The 25,885-nt window shown below is 43.7% G+C and overlaps 1 protein-coding gene across 8 annotated transcripts in view, besides 1 other annotated feature; it reads right to left on the bottom strand.

The window, feature by feature from the left end:
• OPCML (opioid binding protein/cell adhesion molecule like) overlaps positions 1 to 25,885 on the bottom strand; it is a 1,117,521-nt gene that overhangs the window by 24,695 nt on the left and 1,066,941 nt on the right. The gene's annotated exons all lie outside the window — the stretch shown is intronic.
• Positions 14,737 to 14,917: a silencer, noted in NCBI's record as "fragment chr11:132324306-132324486 (GRCh37/hg19 assembly coordinates)". NCBI's record gives its function as "represses an EF-1alpha promoter that drives an FKBP-Casp9 reporter gene in an ReSE screen in phorbol 12-myristate 13-acetate-treated (for megakaryocytic differentiation) K562 erythroleukemia cells {active_cell/tissue: K562(+PMA)}" and the evidence as "EXISTENCE:reporter gene assay evidence [ECO:0000049][PMID:32094911]".

A 25,885-nucleotide genomic window follows, 5' to 3' on the forward strand; every position in this document is an offset into this window, starting at 1 on the left:
ATGACGTTCCAGACACCTCGCCATTTTTTTTTTTTTTCCTGAAAGAAATAAATGTGGTAGAATGAGAAGCCTGGATTTCTACTACGATGACTCCATTATTTTTTCAAAATGTACCACAGAGGATTTTGCCATGAGTAATTAAATTGCATTGCATTTAACCAAACACATGGGCTACCTGCTGAGGGCCTGGCTAGAGTCTCAGGCAGGGTCAACGTTCCCCTTTCCTTAGAGAGAAGAAAGACCCAGATCATGCTGCTTGGTGGACCTCAGCCAGATGCCTTAAAAGCTTCAGATAAAATGAGATCCATGAATGCCAGTAGACTTAGAAATGTTGACCTACACGTAGGGAGGGGATGGTTTCACAGAATGGGGAGGCCCGTGTGCATTTACATGGGTAAGACAGGTCCTGCATCCTTCCAGTGGAATTACCAGATGACATGGCAACTTCTGGAATGTGGGATTTGTTTTCACTGTCTGTGATGCTGTTTTTATGGGACCAGTTATGCAACAGCAGAAATGGAAGGAAGGAAGGAAGAAAAAGTGCATTTCATGTAAAATGGGGATCGTTATAATACTACCTCATTAAGTGAGAAAATGAGTTTTGTCAAGTTTGTACAATGTGCTTCTCAGATTTTAATTTGCATATAAATTCTTTAGAGTTTTTTTTTTTTTTAAATATAGATTCTGATCCAGTAGGTCTGGAGTGGAGTCTGGGATTCCACGTTTCTGACACATGCCCAGGGGCTGCCTCCATGGCTGGGCCGGGGCCCCCACCCTGAGCAGTGAAGCTGTGATGCACTGTGCCGCGCTGTTCGTGGGCTCTCTCCCACCCACACACGTGAAGTCTTCTAGGGTCAGTGTGTTAGGAAAATATACTAAGAGCCCCTCAGGCTGAGACCCTTGTGGAGCCTGCCCCTCCAAGGACTCACTGTTCTTGGAGTTTAGGGCTCAGTAGGCTGGCTACACTGAGGCTGAGAATCAGGATGCATGGATTCTTCATGATCTTCCCACATAACATGCATCCTCACCAAAACATGTTTCTTCGTTGAAAAAGGGAAAATGTTGTTGAAACTTCTCTCCATCTCAGACTCAGTGAAGGTGACTTACCTGTTATTTTCTTAACTACTTTGAATGCTGGGTGAAATTTTTAAAGCAGAATGAATCTAGGTTGCTACTTGCCTGGAGACCTAGGAAGCTGTAGGGCTGCCCTCTCCAGTTCTGGTTGCAATGTAAAGTTCTGATTCCATGCTGCAGATAATGGGGCAGAAGGCAATCAATGTTTTAATCCTCTTTACTAGCTGCCAGGAAACCAAATTGCTGACTATGAGTTAAAGGAAGGAAAACGGGCAGGGAGAAACAGATGAGGGAGGAACAGGATAGGATAGGAAGGAGAGGGAGGAGGAAGGAAAGAAAGACAGAGGTGGGGTAAGCAAGATGGCCTGTGAGCCATTGGAAAGATTCTGAAGATGTGTTCACCAAGGACTTTTTTGTTTTTTTTTTTTTTTTTTTTGAGACGGAGTTTCGCTCTGTCGCCCAGGCTGGAGTGCAGTGGCGGGATCTCGGCTCACTGCAAGCTCCGCCTCCCGGGTTCACGCCATTCTCCTGCCTCAGCCTCCCAAGTAGCTGGGACTGCAGGCGCCCGCCACTACGCCCGGCTAATTTTTTTGTATTTTTAGTAGAGACGGGGTTTCACCGTTTTAGCCGGGATGGTCTCGATCTCCTGACCTCGTGATCCGCCCGCCTCGGCCTCCCAAAGTGCTGGGATTACAGGCGTGAGCCACCGCGCCCGGCCCACCAAGGACTTTTTTAAAAAGGCTGTAAGACTGCAATATTTTCCTTGTCAAACAGGAACTGCAAGTCTGCTCAACAGTTTTGCTTTATAGCAAAATGTCCTGTAGTAAGACAATAACCCAGAGGCATTATGAACCTGCTCTAAGCACTCCAGCATCCCAATATAACAAGGTTGGAAGCAACAGAAAGCAGATTCTGAATCACTGGAAGAAATATGTAAAAACTGAGGCTGTTTCCATGGAAAGAGTGCCTCAAAGAAGATGAGTTCAATTCACTGCATTAGCAAAATTAAGATCTGCAAAAATACAAATGAGGCCATTCATCCGGGGATGTGGGGGTTGTTGCCTCAGATGCAGGTTGCATCCTTGGGGATAGGATGAGCAGAAGCCTCAGGGTTCTGTGGATCTAAGGGGGCTTTTTCAGTAGGGACACACATTCCAACAGCACAGTCACAGAATACAAAGAGCATGAAACATCCACAAGCAGGGTCTGTTCTGCTAGAAATGGAGGAACAGACAGAAAAACAACTCAGGGGAGAAGGACCACTGGCTGGCCTGCTGGCTCTGACCTCACTGCACTTATTCTGCTCACATCCAGGATGAGCGAGGTGTTGTGTCAGACGCTGTGGTGAGGGAATGGGGGCAGAGACAATATGGAAAACAAGGATCTTCACCTTGCATAGTCTGCAATCTCATGGGGCCAGGACTCAAAGCAGTTTATATTTTTCTGTATCTTAGGCTCAATTTTTTAGTTCTTTGTCATTTCTAGATGCCTCAAGTAAGGTGTAGTGAGTCAAACAGATTTATTAGAGCTGAGAGAAACCTAACTATTTGGGGATGAAAAAGATCAAACAGGAAATCCAGAGCAAAATATGGGGGCTTCCTGACCGACTTCTCTTTTCTTTCTCCCTTTATGTCCTTTTGTGCCAGCGATATCTCAGCCATCAATCTTGCATCCAATTTTCCTGTTTATTGCCTCAGCCAATTCCTTAGAGTTATAAAGTTAAAAGAACCATGAGGGGTCAAAGATTTTAGCCTTCCACTTTTTTGGATTATACAAAGTCCTGACAAAATATCTTATCTTCTCTCTGAATACCTCTGGGGACAATTTTAGGAGGTGAAGATAGGGTTTGGCAGTGTCCCCACCCAAATCTCACCTTGAATTGTAATTATCCCCACGTGTCAAGGGCAGGGCCAGGTGGAAATGATTGAATCATGGGCGCAGTTCCCCCATACTGTAGTCTTGGTAGTGAAGAAGTCTTATGAGATCTGATGGGTTTATAAATGGGAGTTCCCCTGCACAAGCTTCTTGCCTGCTGCCATGTAAGATGTCCCTTGCTCTTCCACTATGACTGTGAGGCTTCCCCAGCCATGTGGAACTGTGAGTCGATTAAACCTCTTTGCTTTATAAATTCCCCAGTCTCGGGTGTGTCTTTATTAGCAGCGTAAGAACAGGCTAAACAGGTGACCTGTCCCTTTGTTGGTCTATTCACAGTATGCAAAAACAAAACAAAACAAAAAAAACTTGGTGTTGAGGCAATCCCCATCTGGTTTCTCCATTTGGAATGATTAAAAGTCACCTCTAAGCATCTCCACCCTGACTGTCCTTCTAGGTTTGCTGTCTAGGGCATGGCTCTACCTGCAGAAGCTGCGCTGAGATAAAATGCCAGCAACTGCTGCAGCATGTACCAGACCAGCCAGGAGGTAACACAGAGAGCAACATTTCTGGGGGCTTGTGCCACCAAGGAAAAGAACAACAGGAGATGAGAGCAGTGAGGAGGATCTAGGGTTTCAGGAGGCAGCCACACAGGGAGGACAAGGTGTGGGGAAGGGGAAGTGGGAGGAGCAAGAAAGCAAGAGGGAAATGAGCTGCCAGAAGGAAGCCAGTGGGAGTGGGCAGAGGGTGGCCACCCAGGGGTCTTTTTGGCTCACATGGTTGGGTTTCTGGGAAAACAAGAAAAGGAGTTTCCCTGCTGCCCAGCAAGAGAGACTATTACAGACGATCCTGATCAACACTGAATTTGCAAAGTTGGAATCAAATGTCCAGGTGATTGACGACCAAGTGCATGCCTCTGGCCTGTAAGGCCACAACTAGGCTGCCTGAACCATCTTAGAAACAAGCCTTTTACCCACTCTCAAAAGCTAGGTCACAATTCAAGCTGTCAAGGAACACAGATTTTACTTCTGTAAGGGAAGAACCATGTTTGTAAATATCTGCTGGACATCCTGTCATGGACATCTGGAGTAAGATAGACCACAGGAAGGAGATAAGGCTGTCTGAAACCACCTCCTCCCCACTGCTTCTTGTCCTTGATATGTGCAGGGAAAGGTACAGACTGTCAAAAGTTCCTGAGGAGACATGTGCCTGAATCCTATCACTCATCTTTCTTTCCCTCCAGGATTTTGGCTAATAGAACATAATCACAAAACTGAGCTATGAGCAGATCAAAACATCCGCTGGGCTACAATCCCCACTTGGGATCCAAGGCTGACATGAGGTTCTTGCCTTTCTCTCTGAGAATTAGAGACAGTGGGACTTGCACAGTAGAATGCTTGACTTTAGTACTCAGTCACAGGCTCAAAGTGGACCCGAGAGTATGAGCTGTGTCGCAATGCAGAGTCTGGGGTAAGGAGGACGCCAGACCCAGGTATCAGGCCAGGGAGGGGATGGAGACACAGGAGTAATGCCTTCACTTCTAGATGGCAGCCTTATGTCTTCTTAACTAGGCCCAATAAATGCCCAAGCAACCACTTCACCATGACGTTGGTCACCCGCCTCCCATGGGGGAGGCAAAGAGTGGACAGGGTGGAGGAAAGCTGCCCTCTAGAAACCTGTGAGGGTTATGAATAGGACTTCTCCTTTTATCCTAGAGATCTCCTGGCATCCTTCTCCATCACATACCTCCTGATGTGAGAGCCCCCTTCTTTTGAAGGATACACATCAGAAACATGCATGAATTTGGAATTACGGTAGAGTTTTAGCATTTGGGACCCAGTATGGCTCATATAACCTGAGTCTTGTACTGTTTACCCTTCTTCCTAGTCCATTGTCCAAGTTGCAAGCACCCTGAGTAGATGTCACATCTTCTACTTCCTTAACTCATTACAGCAGCTAACGTAGGCTAAGCCCACAGTATGTGTTCACATTATGCCTGATGGCTAGGTTTGAAAACTTAATCCCTGCAGAACTCCCCCTCTCCCTCTCCTATTTAATCCACTCTCTTTCTGCCAGGCTCTGCCCCACATTTTCTGTCCCCAACTCCGTCCCCCGCCCCAACCTCCAATCCTTGACTCTCCTTAGAACCCTACTGGCAACAAGCAACTCTGAGCCCGCCCTCCTTAATTAAACCAAGGAATGTGGACAGCAGTACATTGCATCCTTGCCTGCTCCCAACTTCCAGATTTGTTACCTTTGCTGCATTGGAGTTAATGAAAAGTGTGATAAACCCACTGTTTCATTTTCCTTTAATTAACACAAGCAATTGAATTGTGCTAAAGTCATTTTGGTTTGGAGGCCAAGCGCCTGGTCAATGTCTCACTTGCTGGCGGTGACAGAAGCTCTTTGTTTTGGGCTCAGAAACCTTTCTCAGGCTGTGGCCACCAGGACCTCCTCTGCGGGAGGAGTGGCTTGCCCCCATCCAGGGCGGCCATGCTGGCTGCCTTCCCTGAGGCTGACAGTAAGTTGGCTAATCACAAGATCAATGTGTTACTGTGAAAGTTAACTGTGCTTCCAGTGGGGGAAGGAGTACATTAATAAAGATCTCCATAGCTGGGGGCTCAGAGGAATTCCCTGGCAGGGGTGAGTTTTCTAGATCCTCCCTTCCATGCATGTGTGAGAATGATGGAAGTGTTTAATGCCCCTCACTGTCAGACCGGGAGTAGCCGAGGATGACACAAAGACAAAAGGACTCAAGTGACTCCTCCAGTACAACTGTCCCCAAAGAGAAACTCTCATACACTGGGGCTCTTGAACTCTTTACCGGGAAAAGTTAAAGAGGAGAGGACCTAAAGGGTTTTGTCTTGTAGGTGGAGGCAGAAGAAGGGATGGCAAGGAAACTCTCTGAAATCAGGTTTAAGAGGATACACCTAAAATAGATGTTCTCATCCCTGGGGGGTCATGAGACTTACCCAAGGAGCACTTTAAAAATAGACTCTTGTGTTCATGCTTATGGATGGTGAACATGGTCTGGGGTGAGGGGTCCCAGCACCAGCATCCTCTAAAACTTCCCAGGGGACTCTAATGTACAGTCAGGGGTGAGAATTCAGGGTTGGTAAGTTGAGGACTCCTGTTGCTTTCATTTTCCAAGTTCCAGTTACACATGTATGCTCCCAGGCTTCCTCTGCTGAGAAGTCATTCAGAGCCAAGGAGTGTATGAGGATGTGCACATCTTACAGTGTGCTCAGATCTCCTGTCAACTGTCAGCTTCTATGAAAAATATACCATCATGATGTCAACAGCAGCAGCTTTATTGTAGGTGGGTCAGGAAAAAGAAATCTTGTGGTGGGGTAGGGTGGTGATAGCCAGGTCAGTCTCCAGCAGCTAGAGATCCCCAGATAGTCAAACGAAGAGCATGAAGACAAGAGGCTTCTTTCCAAAGCACAGTGAAGAGGTGTGTTTAGCTTGGCTCTGCTTGTGTCTTTTTTTTTTTTTTTTTTTTTTTTTTTGAGATGGGTTCATTATGTGTGGGAAGAATCAAGACACAACATTTTTAGGATCTGGATGATACTGTTGACTCATTGGGAGTGGTTCTGAGTGAGTGTCACAGAAACAGCCAGGGTACCTGTGAGGATGTGGCACATTCCCTTTAAATGAAAGTGCAGTATGTGTGCCAGAAAAGGAAGAGAGGAGCTAGACAGAGAGGCAGAGGAGGGAGGGAGGGAGGGAGGAAGAGAGAGAGAGAATGAGGATGCAAAACACTAGAATTCCATACAGGCAGACAAATGACTGAGGATAGAAGCTTAAATCCATTTGATGAGCAGAGTAGCCTATTTGGGCCAAAAAAAGTCGCTAGCATTTTTATTCTAAAAAGTATAAAAAATAAACTGAAACTAACAGTTCAGACCCAAAGAATGCAGGGGTAGAAGGAGAAAAATCATTATTTTTACATAGTAGAGCTTAAACAGCTAAGTTATTGACAAAATGTTTAAGTACACTTGAAAAGTTTTTATTTATTTTACACATTTTCCCCTTATGATTATGATTATTTGGATTCTAAACCAACAGGGTTACTTTAGTATCAACAAGCTAAAGTGAAATGAGTTCTGAGAAGTAAAAGTACTGCTTTAAAAAAAAACCTTCATAATTAAACGACAGCATTTTTTTTAGAAACCTGATCAATGCATGGAAGGAGACACTGCCTCTTTCATTTACAATGTCTAAAGAAAGTTGCCTTAACCTTGTCTGCAGCAACCTACTCAAGCACAGCCAGTCACCCAGGCCCAGTTTCTTCAAGAAGGCTGTATTTTTGTAGTATAGGAGTGTCTTGTGCCCTGGCGTGGTCAGTGGACTGCCAATACTGTGTTACCTAAGGGCGCTTTGGCAAAGTGGCTTCTTGAGCCCAAAGCAGACCTACAGGGCTGGCATCTGCCAGCAGATGGGCAGTATACAAAACCTTCAATTAGTTACAACATCAAAGTAAGTCCTTTGCCCTTTGCTTGCCTTTGGGGGAATTAAAACTTTCCTTCTAATGCCAACTGCGTCTGACTTGTTTTCCCTGAGGATTAATTTATTCGTATAGCAGTGTCAGGAATGCCTTTGTTGTTTTCCTGAGCTGGGTGGACCCATAGTTAGGTTTTCCTGGGATAGTGCCAGTTGACACCTGTCTTCCCAATGTACTTTGTTTTCTTTTGAGACAGAGTTTCACGCTCTCTTGCCCAGACAGGAGTGCAGTGGCGCAATCTTGGCTCACTGCAACCTCCACATCCTGGGTTCAAGCAATTCTCCTGCCTCAGCCTCCTGAATACCTGGGACTACAGGTGCATGCACCATGCCCAGTTAATTTTTTTTTTTTTTTTGTATTTTTTAGTAGAGACAGGGTTTCACCATGTTGCCCAGGCTGGTCTCGAACTCCTGAGCTCAGTCAATCCACCTGCCTTGGCCTCCCAAAGTGACAGAATTACAGGCGTGAGCCACCATACCCGGTCGACAGTGTACTTTTTAACTGTCACCTTTCATTCTTTAAAGTACACTGGTCTGGATCATAAACCAGGTGGCCGACATACTCCTAGCCTACTGAAAGGTCTGCTGTCAGGCCCTAGGGCCTTAGCTACTGGTGACATCTTACTCTGTGCCTGGGGCAGGCCCAACACTCAACCTTCTTAAGAGAGGCAGTGGCTTAGGACCAAATAGGGTGTGGCCGCTCCAATGTAGGACTCTGCTGGACTGATGGTCAAGAAAGATTCTGTGTGCTCTCTTTCTCCCAGAGCTCCAGGCTCATCAGCTATACTCTTCTCTGGAAGACAGACAATTGCAGCTGGTTGGAGCCTAAGCCAACCAGAGAGGGAATCAGCACTGCAGCCCCCAGGAGAAGGAAAGCCAGCAAGGGCTCAAGGGCTCTTGGCTCAAAGTCCTGGCAGACCAAGTACCAGACCTGCCCCTTTCTGAAGTGGTTGGGATGGCCCAGAGCACTGAAAGAAATAGTCCTAGGGTCTTTTCAGGGTATTGGGGAAATGCCCTTTTGAGGAACAGCACAGCTCAGTTCCTGCAGATGAAGCCTTGATGCAGCCTGACTCTTCTTACTTCCTCTCTTTCTTTCCTTTTATTTGATGCTGTCTCTTTTATCCTTTCCCTATATTAGTTCCTGGCATCACAGCCGTTTAACAATGATGCCAACCATCAGCATTCATCAATATTTTCAAAATACTTGTATTAGCTTGTAGGCAAAGTACCCACTAACCCAGGCAGCACAATTGGCATGCAAGCCACAACCAGAGACATCCTGCACACTTCGCAGAGCATAAAGGTCTGAGCTCTGAAGTATCACGAGGAGATAGCATTGCTCATGCACTGAGCCCTAGTGTGCACTGAGAGGAAAGGATCAGGAGCTGTGCACTCAAGGGGCGAAGTCTCCACTAGGGGCAGGGGTCCCTTTGAAAACTTAGCTGGCAAGGGCTCTCCTCATCTGCACCTTGTGCTATTCTAGGCAAGTCTGTCTCCCTCTTACCATCTACCTCAGACTATGATAAGCTGACTTCTCACCAAAGGCATCTGTCTTGCTAGCCTCCCTTCTTAGCCTAGTCACCCAAGAAGTCACTTTATATGACCTTCTGTGACTCATGCTAACAGTAGAACTCAAGGAGGAAACCACTGAATTTGAGATCAGAAGACCGAGGATCTAATCCCAGTTTTGTCACAAATATGTGATTTTTCAGTAAGTGTTTTCAGCCCTTCAAACCACAATTATTTTTTCTGTCAATACAAAAATTGCATCAGATGACCTCCAAGGTCACTATCCATTTTAATGTTTTATAACCTTTCATCACCTAGCAATATGGTCTATGACTAAGGAACCCAAATAATTCCTTAAGTTCTGGAAATCTGATAATCATGGCATTGATGGACTGAGTTCCAACCCAGGAGCTCAGGGTCACTGTCCCACAAAGGAGCATAAGGTCCCTGCAGAGCTGGCCCAGGCCACACTGGCTTTATTTGAGGTCTTGACAGTCCACACACAAAAATAGAGACACCATGACAATTTCAAGGTAGCTCTCATCTGTCACTGTGCTTTAGCTGCTTGGTGATGGGGAGGAAAGAGAGGTTTTGACAATTATGAAGGACTATGTGTGTCTGAACGTAATGTCTTGTGTTAATGGGGGAAATTAATTCTTTCCTTTCCTTTCTAAGATTCTATTCATGTAGATCTTGACAAGTAGCTGTTCTTTCCTCCCTCTCCTTGATGGGTAGACTGGAATAATGTCTCATAGGTATAACTAATCATCCACTTAGATGATTTGAGGCCCATTTTCATGCGTCTGAGGGTACACTTCAAATGCAGGAAAATGATGCTTCTACCTACTTTCTGTCCTCCTCGCCTTTACTAAAAATATCCCTTCTTAGTTACATGGCTCACTTCGCTAATCCTTCCCAACCAGATACAGAGCAACCAGGAAAGGGGCTGCCAGGACAGTGAAGACAATTCCAGTATGATGCCCAAACTTTCAGCTTTACATCAACTGTTATAACCGGACTGTGACTACGGCAGCTCAGCACCAACAGGTTCAGAGGTGCCAAATGGAAGCTGAGGAGGCCAAGGTTTCGGCCTTTGCTCTGCCACTAACTAGCCAGGACCCCTGAGCAGGCCACTTTACTTCATCCAGCCTCGGTTTCTTTATCTGCAAAACGAGGGGATCCGGCCAGCTCATTTCTTAGGTCGCTCAGCCACTGCTCTTTCCTGGCTCTTTTCATGAGGGTCTTTCTGGACCAGAAGATAGAGATTCTGTGCACTCTCCCCCAATCCTTGGACAGCACTCGACATTTGATTTGGGCTCGGAGCTTCTAGGAAGTGAAGTTTGGAGGTGTGAGTTCTGTTTCTGCCCCAGAAACCTGCGCTGGCTCTGGTTCTGGGAGATGGAGCCTTGAGCATGCTGTGATGTGACATGGTGGCTGCAGCCAGGGCTGGTCGTCCTCCAAAGCACCCTGCCCAGGCCCCAGGGGAGACAGACCCCTGCCTTCCTTGCTGGGTCTTCATGTGCTTCCTCATCACTACACTCCAGGCCTTGATCAAATAAACGCATCTGACCTATTCCTAGATTGTTTCCCACCAGCCCAAATTAGTTTATCAGTTTTGTTTTTGTTGCCTTAGGAAGCATGGAGCCTCCATCTTCTTGGCAGAAAATGTCGCTGTGAGGGAGAAAGACAAAGAGGAACGCAAGGTGACTAGGGCTCCAACAGAGCAGGCCTGGACTGCAGGATCGTGGATAGAAACAGGTAGTTTGGAAGAGGCTGCTGCACAGGAAACCATATGGGGCGGGTGCTGGAGCCTGGTGCCTCGACGGTGGTGTCTGCAGATTTTTAGGGCTGCCCGTAGAGGGGCCTCCTGCAGAAAATGAGTCATGATGGAGAGGCAGCCACCGTTCCAATGCAGTGAGCTTACTCTACTTCCACTGGACTCTAGAGGGTTTTTTTTTTTCAATTATAGAATATCGTATCCTGAGAGTAAGTCACGAAATTAATGTAAAAAACAGTGTGATATTTATTGCTTTCTGCACATACACAGACAGACACACAAGTGTTATAAATGCATGGCAGTAAAGAAAGTAAGATGCAGGGTGATTCTTTTCAAACCTTCCTCACCATTGAGGAAGTAACACCACACTAGGCTCAGGAGTGATTATGACTTTCTGTGTCCATTTGGATAAATTGCGTAACCACCCTAGGCTTCTTGTTCTGTCATTAGTTAAAATAATGGGGTGGGGTTTGATGATTTCTAAAAAGCGTTAGCTCTAATTTTCGATAGTCAGTAGCTGTTTGAAAAGTAACATGTGTTCCTTCCAACCATTGACTCAATGTGTGTGTGTGTGCATGGGTGTGTGTATGTGTGTATAAAGAGAAACACAGCTAAATAAGGAATAAATCTCACCTAGAATCTCATGAGAAGAGACAAAGCAATAAGAAAGCCCTAAAGAGGCTTGAGCTTAGCAAATCAGAAGGCAATTCATCTTGAGAAGAAAACAAGTGATATTTACATTATTAAATCTCAATTACAAAGCAAATCAGCTGCAGAAGAGAAGAGACCATTTCCATCAATTATTACTGAGCTGAACATAATTTTTCTATCACCAGCAGATTGTAAATGGGGGCTACAGCTCATCCAGGAACTCTTCTATCATAGGAGTTATTAATCGGGTATTAACTTTGTCGAATTAGCAAGGACACTGACGAGATGGTGAGGGAAGCAGGAAGGGTATAGGGCTGGGGCGGGGGTGGGGGCGCAGACGGGAGGACACAGCAGGTGAATTCCTGAGACCACAGAGGCACAGAACACTCTAGAAGGCCTGGGATCAGTCCTTTATGCAGCTGGTCTGGCTTCTGTGTTGAAGAAAATACCCAGCTCTGGGGTTTTCAGTCCCAAAAAGTCAACACATGAACAGGTAAAAATAAAAAATAGCACCTTCTTGACTGGCGATTCCATTCCTGTTTAGGAGCACTGAGGGGATGCCAGGACTCTGCACAGCTCTAGGTGAGGGGTGCGGCTCTGTTGCTGCCCCTGCTGTGGGGCCTCCATCTAGGGCCCTAAAAGTCTGAGTGCCTCCTACTGGGTGGAAGGTGTGGGCCATCCATCCCATCAGAACCTCATGTAGATTGGTGGAGAACAAAAGCACAAACAAAAGACTTTTTTTGTGTGTGTTCCATCAATGTGCTGCAGTTCCTTATGGGTCTCAGTAAAAACTGTTATCAACGCAGTAACTTTCTAGGTTTTTTGTGCCCCGTTTTCTCTCTTCCTCTGTATTACCAGTTTTTCAAACTCTGCCCTCACTGGATTTCTGTGCGGTACAGAGTAGGTTTCAATTCCCCTAAACCGCTTTGCTCCCTCCCTGGGTTCAATGTCACGCTCCTCCATTGTCACAGGACAGGCTAGGCTATTGGATAACTGATTTGTGTTCTGTTCTCAAAGCTGTAGAAGAATGGAAGGAATGAGAAACATTTTCCCTGCCCCATCCCCAAAAATGTGGCAGGCCCTGCAAATCCTCAATTCTTAGCTTCTTGCCTCAGAGTTGTTAATGACTTTTGTGTCATGGGGTCTAAAGCAGTTGCTAGGCACCCAGAAGATTATTACTATTCAAGCTTTTGTTTCACAGAAACAAGCAAACAGAGTCTAGGCTCACGGAGGTGGGTGGGCACCAAGCTGGGGGAGGATGAAAGGTCCAAAGCTTGGGTTTGTGAAGGAGTCCCCACCAGTGGCAGACTACCTGTCATTTCCCACGATCTCCAAGGCAGACCTCCAGTCAGCGACAGCACCTCACACTGGGTGACGATGAAGCTGGATCTAAAAGCTGTGATCCACCAGCCTGCCCTCCCTCCCTCCCTTCCTCACTTCCTTCCTTCCTTCCTTCCTTCCTTCTTTCAGCCTGCCTGCCTGCCTGCCTTCCTTTTTTCCTTCCTTCCTGCCTGCCTTCCTACTTTCCTTCCTTCCTGCCTGCCTTCCTACTTTCCTTCCTTCTTGCCTTCCTTCCTTCTTCACCTCCTTTTTTCATGTCCTCCCTCACTTCCTTTGTTCCTTCACTCAACAAACATTTTTGAACTCTTACACAATAAGCCTACCACTAAGGACTAATAACTAAAGACCCTTTCTCAGCATTCTGTATACTCCAGTGAGGAAAGACAGTCTCCCAAAATATGACTCAGATTGAATTTCTCACCAGCCAGACGGGCAGCCCCAACAAATCAACCATGAACACAAACATTCTTATAAGTGAGATTTCAAACATAGAAATAATAGGTGTCATTCATATACCACCCCTCCTCCTTTCCCCTGGACATATCTGACCTTGCTTATAAGTCTCCTCTGTATAGTCTCCCTGCACCATGCCCACATCTTGTAAGGGATTGTCTTATTCAGGCTGCCTAGAGTTGCTCAAAGTTGAAGATGCCATCTATTTCCCACTGGGCTCTTGACTGTTATGACTTCCTTGACTTTAGGGTCTTTGTTAGATGCCCCTCATCTGGGTTCCTGTAGAACGTACATTTATCTTCGCATTTGTCATGTTAGAGCAGTAATTCTCAACCTGGTAATTTTGTCCACAGGATACATTTGGCAGTGTCTAGAGACAGTTTTGGTCTTTATGGCTGAGGTTAGGAAAGCTGTACTACATTGCACAGGACAGTCTCCCTTGACAAATAATTATCTGACCCCAAATATCACTAGCACCAAAGCTGAGAAACCTGCACCAAAATGTAAATGCGTATTGAATCGCTGACATCTCCCACTAGAGAGAAGGAAGCTCGGTGACTACAAAGACCATCCATTTCATTCCCAGGGGCATCCCCAGGGCCGGGTGTAATTCCTAACACATGATCGGGCCCCACAAAAGGACCGCAGAAAAATACAAAGAACGAGTGAGTCCATTCAGCAACAAAATGCAGTGCCAGTCTTATGTCATCTAATTGTCTAGTGCTGAGGGTAAGACTGATTACTCATAACTAAATATAAGCTTAGCAAGAAATAACCCAAAAAATGCATGGTGATTAAGCCCCTCGGCAGGGTTTCGAGGACAGAGCAGATACTATTTAGCTGGTTGGGCGTGGGGCTGGTACAAAGAAACATAGCTCTGGCTACAGGCAGTGCTCAAAGAAGCCTTGAAATGTTCTCACTTCAGCAGGCAGAACTGGGATGGCACAGAGGGTAGGGACACAGCATGGACAGGGTGAGGAGGAAGAGACATTCTGGAATTCACACTGCAGGTTATTTCCTTACTGGTACTACTTTTCTGAGGAACATTGCTGATGACTCTTGGCTAAGTGGATTCTGGTTGCAGAAGACAATTCTGCCCTTCTAAGTGAACTGAAGGAAATTGCAGTCATGTGGCAACTGCTATTTTCATGTTTTGCCTTCTCAACATAGTTTGTCACTTCTATATGATTAGCAAGGGAAGATGCCTACTATGTGCACAACACATGCTAGGTTTTTGCGGGGGAAGGTTAAGAAACCAGGACTGGCAAATAGACATCATTCAACATGTATCTATTGCATCAAATCCTGCAAAGCACATTGTTTCTTAATTGGTCTCATTTGTATGGTCTATAATTTTAGACTTCAAAGGATGAGAGGGTCACCTTTAGCTTTCGTTGCTAGTTTTACAGACCCAGCTTCTCCCAGGTCATAACTTGTTCCTGGGAAATGAGGTCTGAGAAAATCAGTGTTTGCATCCATTCCTGGGAGATAACTAATCTGAAAAGTGTGATGGTGGAAGCCTGATTTGGAAGGGTGAGGACCGATGCTCAGTGAGCCAGAGCCCACTCTTCCGAGGTCAGGCTTCAGTGGGCTAATATCTCATCAGGAGGCACCAGGCCCTCACTATCCTGCGGTAACAGCCCCTCTACTGCGGAGATGCTCCACTGCCTCTTCCACACACTGCTCACTGCGACAGCCTCGCAGAGGGCTCCCAGCTGAGGACAGAGGACAGATGATGGGAGAAGCCAGCACCCAGGGCCTTCGGGAACATGGCAGCAGCCATGTTGAATAGGGTTTGTGGCTTTCTGTAACCTATTAAATTTTGCCCATTACAGAGAGGAGAGAAGGGCTGCCTTCAGATCCAATCTAGCCTACTCTATGGGAAACAGGATGAACTGACTTGTTGGAAATCCACACCAGCACATAAATTGCTTCATAACTGCAGGGACATATAATATCTGCACACAGCCAGTATGCACACCCCCTAGAAGGGATGTGATTTTCAGTCTAAAATGTCAATTTATTTTTTTCAGTAGGGTTTAATAATCATGCTCTGACCCTGGACTGAATAAACATGTCAGGGGCATTGCCAGTATAACATCTGACTAACCTTTTCCTGTGAGACATTTGTAATTTCATGAACAGAGTATAAGACCATTATAATAGAATGTATCACATAAACCTGGATATATTACAGGTCGAACCCTGTCTCCTAAAACATAACAGCTACATTCTTAAACGATCTTATCTAAATCCCATGCTCCTCATACCAGCATTGCAAAAAGTTTCACAGAGTTTGCGCATCTCATTTCTGTTTAATTGTACACTCTGTAAATTAAGCACAGAACCACAGCCTTCCTTTACTTTGCAAATGATCACACAGTGTATTGTACACCCATCTGGTGGGCGCCTCAGAGATGCCAACTGGCTGCTTAGCCTGAGAGAAGCCTGGAGTGTGCAGTGACCTGAGATGGCTTACATGCTACCGGTGAGATTCCCTTAACTCAAAAGGTCACCTCCTTCCCATAGCAGTGTCCCTGTGGGACTGGATGGTTCCCTGCAAGTAATAACCACTTCTAATAGGGCAGAAACAAATAGGACTTGAGGTTCCCGTGGGCAAAGGTTAAATCTTCAAATCCGCCCTCGAGTGAGATCCCTTTGAGATGCCACTTAGGAGCATGCTATCTCCCTTGCTGGAGATAGTCTTTGTTTACATTTGTTCATCTTCTGTAATATGGATGCCAGTCCCGTCATTTTCAAAACGGTCTCAGTGTAGACACTACATTATATGTTCACTGTACATTTAAATCATTCCAGACTCAAAAGCAGTTCTCTTGTGTTTAAATATCCTAAGCCATTACATATTGATAGAGACTACCGTTGTCTGTCAAAAACCTTCTTTGTCAAATTCATTCATTCATTCATTCATTCATTCATTCATTCATATGTAAGGCATAACTTACTCTATAGACTATAATCTCTGCCCTCACACAGCTTACATTTTAGAGAGAAAGCACAGACATCAGATGACATAACAGATGATATGCGTTAGTGGTTATTGACTGTCAAACTTAAGTAGTGGAATCCTCTCTCTCTCTGCCAATAAAATCCTCTATTAAAATTTTATCGAGTTGCAAAATCTGAGCTGCTATTTTGGGGTTGGGGTAGAGGGGAGGTATAGGAATTCAAGGTTTTGTAGTCTAGTGCTCACTATCTCATTCTCACAGCTGTTCATATTGTCTCTCTCCCACCGTCTCTCCTCGCTTTCTCTAACCCTCACAGAGACACCTACAGAGGTTCAGAGGAAACCTTTGGCATTTTATGAACTGCAGCTAAAAGGATAAACAGTTTCCCATTGTTCAGGAGAGCACAGTGCAATTGAGAAAACAGTGCATAAACATATGAAACTTTACATAACAATGAAAAATTGAACAAGTCAGAACAAAAGAAAAGATGTCCAAGACCTTGAGAATTAAATAGCTCATAATTCTAATAAATGTTAGAGGAATTTTAAGGCAGGAGAGGTCACACCGGGCAGGAAATTTTAAATTTAGTTTTAGTTAATTTTTTTAGAGTTCAGGGATTTTAATGAGAAGAAATTCCATATATCTAGTCAAATACCCTCGTGATCTGTCTTGCTCATTTCCAAGTGCACTGTTGTCAGCAGCAATAGAAAATAGCTGAAAAGACTTCTTGCCTTCCACATTAGCCCATAATCCACAAATGATAAATGATTCTACCTGTGTTTCATGTAGAGGGTGGTGAGGGTGGGTACCCAACTCTCTTCCATGAAGAATCAATGGCATTCACCTAAGGCATCAGGTGTGGGAGAAAGAGCAGTAGTGAACACGTAAAGTGCATTGGACTTGTCAGAGGAAGTTATCAAATAAATGTGTGTTATTATTGTCTATTGAGTATTGTTCAACATAGTCCAATTGAAATTCCTTAAAGATTTAAACCATACTTTTCTGTAATACTCTATTTTTACAATTCCCTGATTAAACGAAAGCTTATTAATCATGCTCATTAATCTGTCAATGCCTGCATTAGGCAGAAGGAATACAGCTGTGTCAGGCAATCACTCCCTTCAGGGATCTGGCAGTCTTGATGTGATGAAGATGATGACAATAGAATGTGGCTCATGCATGGGGGGAGGGATGCCGCAGAGGCAAGGGGAAGACAGGAGGCCACAGAACCAGACTGCTGTGGGTGGTTTCTGGGAGGAGCTGAGACCCGAGCTGAGACCCAGAGAATGAGGATGAATTAGCATAATCAACACATTTTGAAAGGGCATTCCAGGCAGCAGAGGTACCGTGTCACGAAGCACAGAGATAGAGGGAGTCAAATGCTCTGAAAACACAAGAGGCTCCATGAGGCTGACGAATTGAGCAGGGCCATGCATGAGTGGCCTTGAACACAGTCGTAGGGCATGGCTGCTTCCGATAGGTAATAAGACCAATAACACAAGTGGTGAGACATCTACTCTGCTCTTAAGACGCTTACAATAGAGTTGTTCAGAAAGACCAAACCTACACTGATACATTTACAAACACATAGAATTCATGATAAAGAGATTCATGCTTTAACAAATATTTATTGAGTGTCAACTTGTTTGAGGCACTGATTATGGATGCTCCGTCAGTGAATGCTATGGGATTCCTGCCTTCTATGGAGGAGGCAGGTGGTAAAGAGATAACCAAACAAATACCAATATAACAGCAAACCTTAATAAGGACTGTGAAGACATGCCAAAGCAATAAGACCTCCATCCACTAAAAAGTGCTGAGTGATCACTATGTGCCAACCACTTGCCCTGAACCTTTGTTTCCCTTTCTCTGGTGCTGTCCATGGCCTGCCACCCAGATTCCCAATTCAGGGCTAAAGCACTCCTGCCCCAGCTGCCTGGTGTACGGTCTGCTGAGCCCTCTGGGGAACTGAGGCAATGGGCTGTCTCTTCCTATGTTATGCTCACTCAATGCCTTGTTGAATGAATTATTTCATTCAACAAATATCAGCTATTTTGTGCCAGGCACAGGTCTATGCATGGGTCCACGCTAGTGAAAAGGACAGGCAAAGTGTCTGCCGTGGAAGAGCTTAGATTCCAGAGAGGAGAGCCAGTCAACAAACCAATAACATGGAATTTGTCAATGGGTCAGTGATGCAGGAAAAAATAAATCAAGCAGGTTGAAGTGGGATGGGAGGTGGGGAGATATGTGGGAAAGACTATTCTATCCTGAGTGGACAGAGAAGGTCTCTTGGGTAACACATAAGCTGAGGAAGTAAGACATGAACATGTAGGGGTGGTGGGAGAAACAAAGGCATTTAAGCAGCAAAAGATGGACACTACACAATCCATGCATCAAAGAGCATGACGATTCATAAAAGGATACCTCAGAACCCCACTCGGACCCAACTAACATGCATAGAAGATAAGTTGCATAAATCTGGTTATATTCTACCCACTTCCTCTGGCCAACCACAGTGAACACACCCCTGACTAGGAGCTAAAAAGTGTGGATTCTAGACTTGCAGTTTAATTATGCACAGCAGCAAGATAAAGACCGGTGATTCCTTTTCAGCCTGTCTTGCATGATTGCTGTGAGGTTTTGATGAGACAATAATATAAAAGGAATAAGAACTAATAAGAACAGCAATTGTCAAACTTTTTTCCTCAGGACCCCATGACATTCTTAAACAATTATTGAGGACTTCTAACAACTTGCTTTGTAGTATTATGCTTATCAACATTTGCCATGTTAGAAATTTGAATAATTTTTTTAAAAATAATGATTCTTTTTTTAAAAAACACTGATAAACCCATTACATTTTAACGTAAGTACCTATTACGATGAAAAATAAATATTTTCCAACATAAAGATCAGTAAAGACAGTTTTGACATTTTGGTAAATAATGCCAATGTCTGCCATAATAGAGACAGGTAGATCCCCACATCTGCTTCCACACTCAGTCTATTCAATAGATTGTTCTGGTTGACATATGTGAAGAAAATGTAGCCTCCCTCATAAAGTGAGGGAGTTAGGAAATAAAGCATTTAATAGCCCTTTCAGACAATTGTGTGTATTATTCTTTTGTGTACACCAAAACTCAACAAATGGTAGTTTCTTAAAGCTTAATTTCAGAATCTGAGACCATGTCAATGAATGTTTTGTACTCTGTTCCATTAAAATTCATTGGGCCATCCTTCCCAATGTGGGCAGGCATCATACAATTCACTGAGGGCCTGAACAGAACAGAAAGGCAGAGGGAGAGTTTGCTCTTTCTGCCTGCCTGCTCAGGCTGGAACAGGAACCCGCTCCTGCCCTCTAGCTCACACTTATACCACTGACCCTCCTGGCCTCAGGCCTTCAGGCTGTCAGCCTTGGACTAGAACTTCCACTGTTGGTTCTGCTGGTACTCAGGCCTTTGGACTCCAACTGGAACTACACCATCTGCTCCCCTGGGTCTTGTGCTTGGAGAAGGCAGGTCTTGGGACTTCTCAGCCTCCGTAATCATCACATGAGCCAATTCCTTTCTCTCTCTCTCTCTCTCTTCACACATACATACATACATACATACATACATACATACATACATATCTACTTCCTATATATATATCTACATATATATAGGATAATATATATCTATATAGAGAATATATATATATATATACACACATATACATATATATATAGATAGAGAGAGAGAAAGAGAGAGAGAGAGAGAGATCCTACTGGTTCTGTTTCTCTGGAGAACCTTGCCTAATATAGATTCCTTTTTTGCTCCACATATCATTTTGGAACATTACATATTGGTTATGTAGAGGATCTTTATTCACTGCGATATGCATATCTTCCAAATGTTGACATACTTCGTTATACGAAAGTTAAAAAAAAAATCACATCTGTTAATATTGCCACCAATCTCATCAGAAATGTCTTTAGGCACTGGGAACCTGTCAAGCTCATGAAAGCAAATACAAGTTTTCCAAAGTTCTAATTTTAGCTCAAAAGCTCAAATTCCATTTTTAGCAACAAATGCTGTCAGTGGTTTTCGTCCAAGTGACAGGCCCACATTATTCATTTTCAAGAAAAGATCTGCTAGATACTCAAGTGTGAATAATGTTGAGTTATATGTCAGTTGTTTTTTCAAATACAGTGCTGTTGTGGGGGTGGGATGGCTACTTGAGCTGGCAACCAAACAGTCTAACAGGTGATTTTTCCTTGGGAAAACATTGTACTTTGTGCTTTGGGCATACTGCTATTTCATCTCACAGAATGCTGAAAACTCATGCGTTCCAGGGTTGAGATGTAATCAAATTAATTTATGCTGGCTCAACAAGAATATTCTTAAGTTAAAGTGACTTTTTTTTTTTTTACTGTGAGTTTGTGGCAGTGAGGAATGCAATGACTGCTAGCAAAGCCAATGATGCTACATTGATTAGTGCCAAGGCTCCACCATGTGAAACCTCCATTGCTTTTGTACTAACAGGACAAATTGGGAAAGGCTAACAATGTCTTAGTATTACCTTGAAAACAGCTTTGACCTCACAGCAATAAGAGTTTCAACCTCACAAACCCTCTGAAAGGGTCTTGAGTATCCTCAGGGGTCAATGAATCTTACTTTGAGAACCATTGCCAAAGTAGAAACTTAAAGGGACTGAAGTCAACAGGGCAGGAGGAAGATGTATGGTGACTAAAGATAAATGATATCTCAGCAGCAAAAATTGATGCTTGGTATCTTGATGGCAAAGAAGAATAAGAAAAAAATATAGAAAGTATTCAAAAGCATAGCGACTTGGGGCTATCTTTTGCAGAAGCAAATAATCATGCACTTCAACAGCTCCAGAGAGAATCGCCAAACTTCAGCACTGCACAATAAACACAGTTCACAAAGACGACCTTGAGTCATTAAAATAAGTTTACAAAATATCACATATACTACGTTTAACAAGCCAAAGAAGGGAAAGTGTTCTCTTAGGAAGCATTCCTTAGAAAGAGCTCTGGAGCAATAATTGAAATTTTAAAAATTGCTTTGGAGTTTTATTTAGATATTTACTTGTGTGGACTAGCTCATTTCATATGATGGATAAACAAAGCATTTCATGAATTAAATGCTATCCCATGAAATTTGGTAGAATGACTTGTTCCACTTTATAGATGGGCAGTAGGGCTGAGTGAGGTTAATGATGTACCTGAGGATACTGAGTGAACCCAAGGAGAACAGAGCATGAGTCAGGTTCTGAAAAAGTGAAATAAGTATTTGGTATTTGGTCTTCCTCCCCTCTCCTGACAAACAGCTCATAAAACCCTTAGAATCTCTGCAGCTGTAAGAGTGTCCTTTGTATGCTAATGCCATGACTGGGGACTGAGGGCTCCTAGATAGCTCAGGCTGGCAGCTGGTCACCAGAAAAGCAACCAAGCATATGGAGGAAAGAGGGGCTGCAGGCTGAGTTGACCACCAATGGCCAATTATGTAATTAATCATGCCTAGGATATGAAGCCTCTATGAAATTGCAAAAGGACTGGGTTCGAGCAGGTTCTGGAAAGGGGAACACATGGAGGTTCTAAATGGTGGTGCATCCAGAAAGGTCAAGCAAGCTCCATGCTCCTTCCCCATACCTGACGCTATACATCTCTTCAATCTGACGGTTTATCTGGATCCTTGGTAATTCTCTTTGTAATACATGGGTAAACAAAAAAATGGTGTTTCTCTGATTTCTGTGAGCTGATCTGCAAATTAATTAGACCCTGGGAGCAAGTAGCAAGAACTTGGCCTTATAGCTGTGTTTTAGTCCATTCTCATACTGCTAATAAAGACATACTCGAGACTGGATAATTTATAAAAGAAAGAGGTTTAATTGACTCACAGTTCTGCAGGGCTGGGGAGGCCTCAAGAAATTTACAATCATGGCAGAAAGGGAAGGAAACATGTCCTTCTTCACATGATGGCAGGAAGGAGAAGTGCCAAGCGAAAGGGGAAAAGCCCCTTATAAAATCATCAGATCTCCTGAGAATTCACTCACTATCACGAGAACAGCATGAGGGTAACCACGCCCATGATTAAATTACCCTTCACTGGGTCCCTCCCATGACACTTAGGAATTATGGAAACTACAATTCAAGGTGACATTTGGGTGGGAACATAGAACTAAACCATATCAAGCTGTTCTGGAATAAATATAGGTGACAATGTACTACTTGCAATTTTTTGAAATGGGGGCCAGTCTTGTGAGTCTGAGCACTAAATCTGTGGGATCCAACACTATCTTCAGGTAGAGAATAGAATAGAATAAGTAGCAGTACGTGCAACTAGTGTCCACTGGAGAATTACTTGCTGGTGGGAAGAATCCCCCCACCGCACCGCCCCCGCCACACACACACTTTTTGGTGATCAGAGGTGAAGTATTCAGTGTTCTGTGTTGACTGTGTAAGAGAAGAAAAAACACTTTGTTTCTTTCCTACCATATCTCTCAGGATGTGTGCCATTTCCACACCACCTTTCCTGAGGCTGCCTGGTGGGCTTCCCTGTACCAACAACCTGTGAAATTGAAAACTTCAGCCTCTCTGAGGATTTGAGCCCCACACAGGAGATCACAGGAAAGCTGGGTGTCCAGCAACATTGACATGAACTCTGTTCATTGGTCATTCTGAGCTGGAAGCGAGTGGCATTGGAAAAGAGATGATGATTTATAATATCTGAATAATGCAGTGGTGTTTGCTTCCTGGCTAGAGTCTCCTTGGTAAGGCTCTTAGAGCAGGTTCCTCTGCCATAAGACATACAGAAATGCAAGCTCAATTACATTGCATAACCTCTCTAGAAGGGGGGAAGAATGGTCATCCAATGATGAAGACAATATTTCTTAATTCCCTGATCCATCTCTTAGATAAACATGAAATTCATGGCAGTAAAGTGAAATTCTACAGAAAGAGGGTGGCTGGTAACCGTGCCTGGATAATTAGGTTTTGCTAGAAGGCAACACTCAAGTTTGTATCTGGAAATTGCCCCTGAAGGTCAGACATGGAGAGGGACAGGGGTAGCAAGGATGAACAAATACCCAGACCTTGGGGGAAAGAGGGTCCAGAGTCCCAACAAGGCCATGACCACTCTGCACCTGCTGCTGCAATCTCTGTCCACATCAGAAGTGATAGAACTTCTCCCTTACCAATTATCCAGATTAATCAAGTTAAAAATACCCACTTATCCAATAGTGAAGCCAGAACTTTGGAAGATTTGACTTGTCTGCCTAATTGCCTCAAGTCTCTTCTCCCAACTCCTCTGTAAATACAATCTTCCAGTTTCACTTTGAAAGATCTCACTACATCAGCAATGCACATCATTTCACGTCTTTCCCTCTTCATTTTGTTCCATTCAACACCATCTCTTTTCTCAACACTATCACATACTCACTGAAACACTATTTTCTATCACTGAGCACAAAATAGTGTATTAAGGACATTGTCACACATTCAGATGAAAGGGCTGAGTTCTCAGATCTCTAAACCTAGAGTGGGCGCCTGGACAGCAATAACAAGCTTTCCAGGAAACTCTAGTGTAGTCCTCACACCAGAAGCACTTGGTGTCCTTAGGGAACTAGCTAAAAATGCAGAATCTCAGATCCCATTGCAGATGTCCTGAAGAGCATCTGTAGTTTACCAAGATTCCACGTGATTCTCACGTGCATCATCACCCTTGAGAAGCCCTGCTGTACCACACTGCAAGGATTGAGAGGAGCTGAGGGTTAGGGAATCTGGGATTAGAACATGCTTTGCCACAGTGAGGTATATCTCCTGAGCCATTTGACCTTTGAGGACATTCATCTTCTCACCTGCCAATGGAGGTGCACAGACTGCTAGATAAATAGTCCCCAAACTTTGCTGGTCAGTCATCTGTGGCATTTAAGTAGCTTTCTAAAAATACATATTATTGGGCCCCTCCCCTGGGAATTATGGCTCCATAGTGTCTGAAATGCTGATAGGTTTGACTATTGCTAGTCTAGCTACTGTGCATATTTCTGAAATTCAAAGAGACCTAGGTTCAAACACAGCTCAGACACAGTACAGCCATGTAGTCTTGGGCAAGTAATTAACTGCTTTGAGACTCAGTTTCTTCATCCTGTAAATGGAAATAATATTATCAACTCCCTGGAGTTTGAACTACTAAATAGTTTCTGTAATTTATGTAACTTAGCACATAAACAAAATACATTTCATGACTTTTTCTCTTGTTTCTGTGAACTCCTGCCACCCCTCCCTTTCCTTGGCTGCCTTCCCAGCAGATGGAGAAGATTTCCCTCCAAAGGCCTCTGCAGCTGCTGCACTCCCTCTGAACTCTTCTTCCAAAAAGTGCTTGTGTCCCCATCTCCTTCATGTCTCTGTCTGGAAGTTATCACCAGGGAGGCTGTCGCAGACTGCCACATGGAATATCACAAATATTCCCCACCCCAGCCTCCTAATCTTGCCTATGTTTTTATCAGGGGACTTCACACCACGTGACATTATACTGTATATGTACTCGTGTATTTGTTTATTGTCTGACACCCACCCCATCCTACCCACCGCCTCCAGCCTGGCCACTAGAATGTAAGCTCCACGAGAGCAAGAACTATGCTTAGTTCATGGCTTAATCTCTAATGTCTGGAATATGGCCTGGTACAAAACAGCGGCTCTACAATTATTTGTTAAGTAAAAGAATGAATAAATAAAAGTTTCCATTAATCAAATATCTCTACTTTTATTAGTTATTCTTGTTTTGATGGTCCTCGCCTTAACAAACTACTTTTTATCTGGGAAAATGGGCAAATCATTGATGCTTTCTCGGGGTTTTTCAAATTAACGCCACGCAGAGTAAGCCCCTCTATTGATTAACAATAAATTAAACATATGACTTGGGATCTGCAATATTTTTTTCTTTACTTCTTTTCACACAATTAAAAAATGAGTAAACTCCCTGATAAAAGATTCAAACAATTAAGAAGTGTGTTATATGTACAAGATGTGAAAGTAGCTCCTACTCATGACTACCCTCTTCTCATTCCCTTCCCCAGAGGAAAGCATGGTTAGCAATTAATGCTACATCTTAATGTTACAGTTTCTGTGTAGTTATGCATACAGAGGTGTGTATATACATATCGATCTTTTTTATTTACCTAAATGGCAAAATATGCTTATTATTTTTTAACTTTTTCATGAAATAGACCTATTCATGTCTATATGGATCTGCCACATTCTTTTTATGGGCTACATAAAAAGATACATCATAATTTATTTAAATGCTCCCCCTTGTGACAGGCATTTAGGTTGTTTCCAGTTTCTCTCTATTAGCACATTGCCATGATCGTCCTTCTACACACATTTGGTCATAATACAAGAATTTCTAAGGAAAAGATTCTTAGAAATACTCATTAAAATGTAGTGAAGGCTACCCAATTGGTCTACACTGAGCTTCCTAACTTTCACTCTCCGCTAGGGTACCTGAGAATGACCCTTTCCTTATTCACAACAAAGCCACATGTTATTTATCTCCTTGAATTTTACCAATTTCATTCTGTAAAATATCTCCTTATAGTAATTTGCAATGAATTGATTTCTAGTGAAATCAATCATCCTTTTTATTTTTATTATCCACTTGTATTTTTTTACTGTATATTTCCTGTTTATTTAATCAATTTTTCGATTGGACTTTTTTTTACATTTTCTTATATTATT

Source organism: Homo sapiens, chromosome 11 (assembly GCF_000001405.40).
Source record: "Homo sapiens chromosome 11, GRCh38.p14 Primary Assembly".
Taxonomy (NCBI): domain Eukaryota; kingdom Metazoa; phylum Chordata; class Mammalia; order Primates; family Hominidae; genus Homo; species Homo sapiens.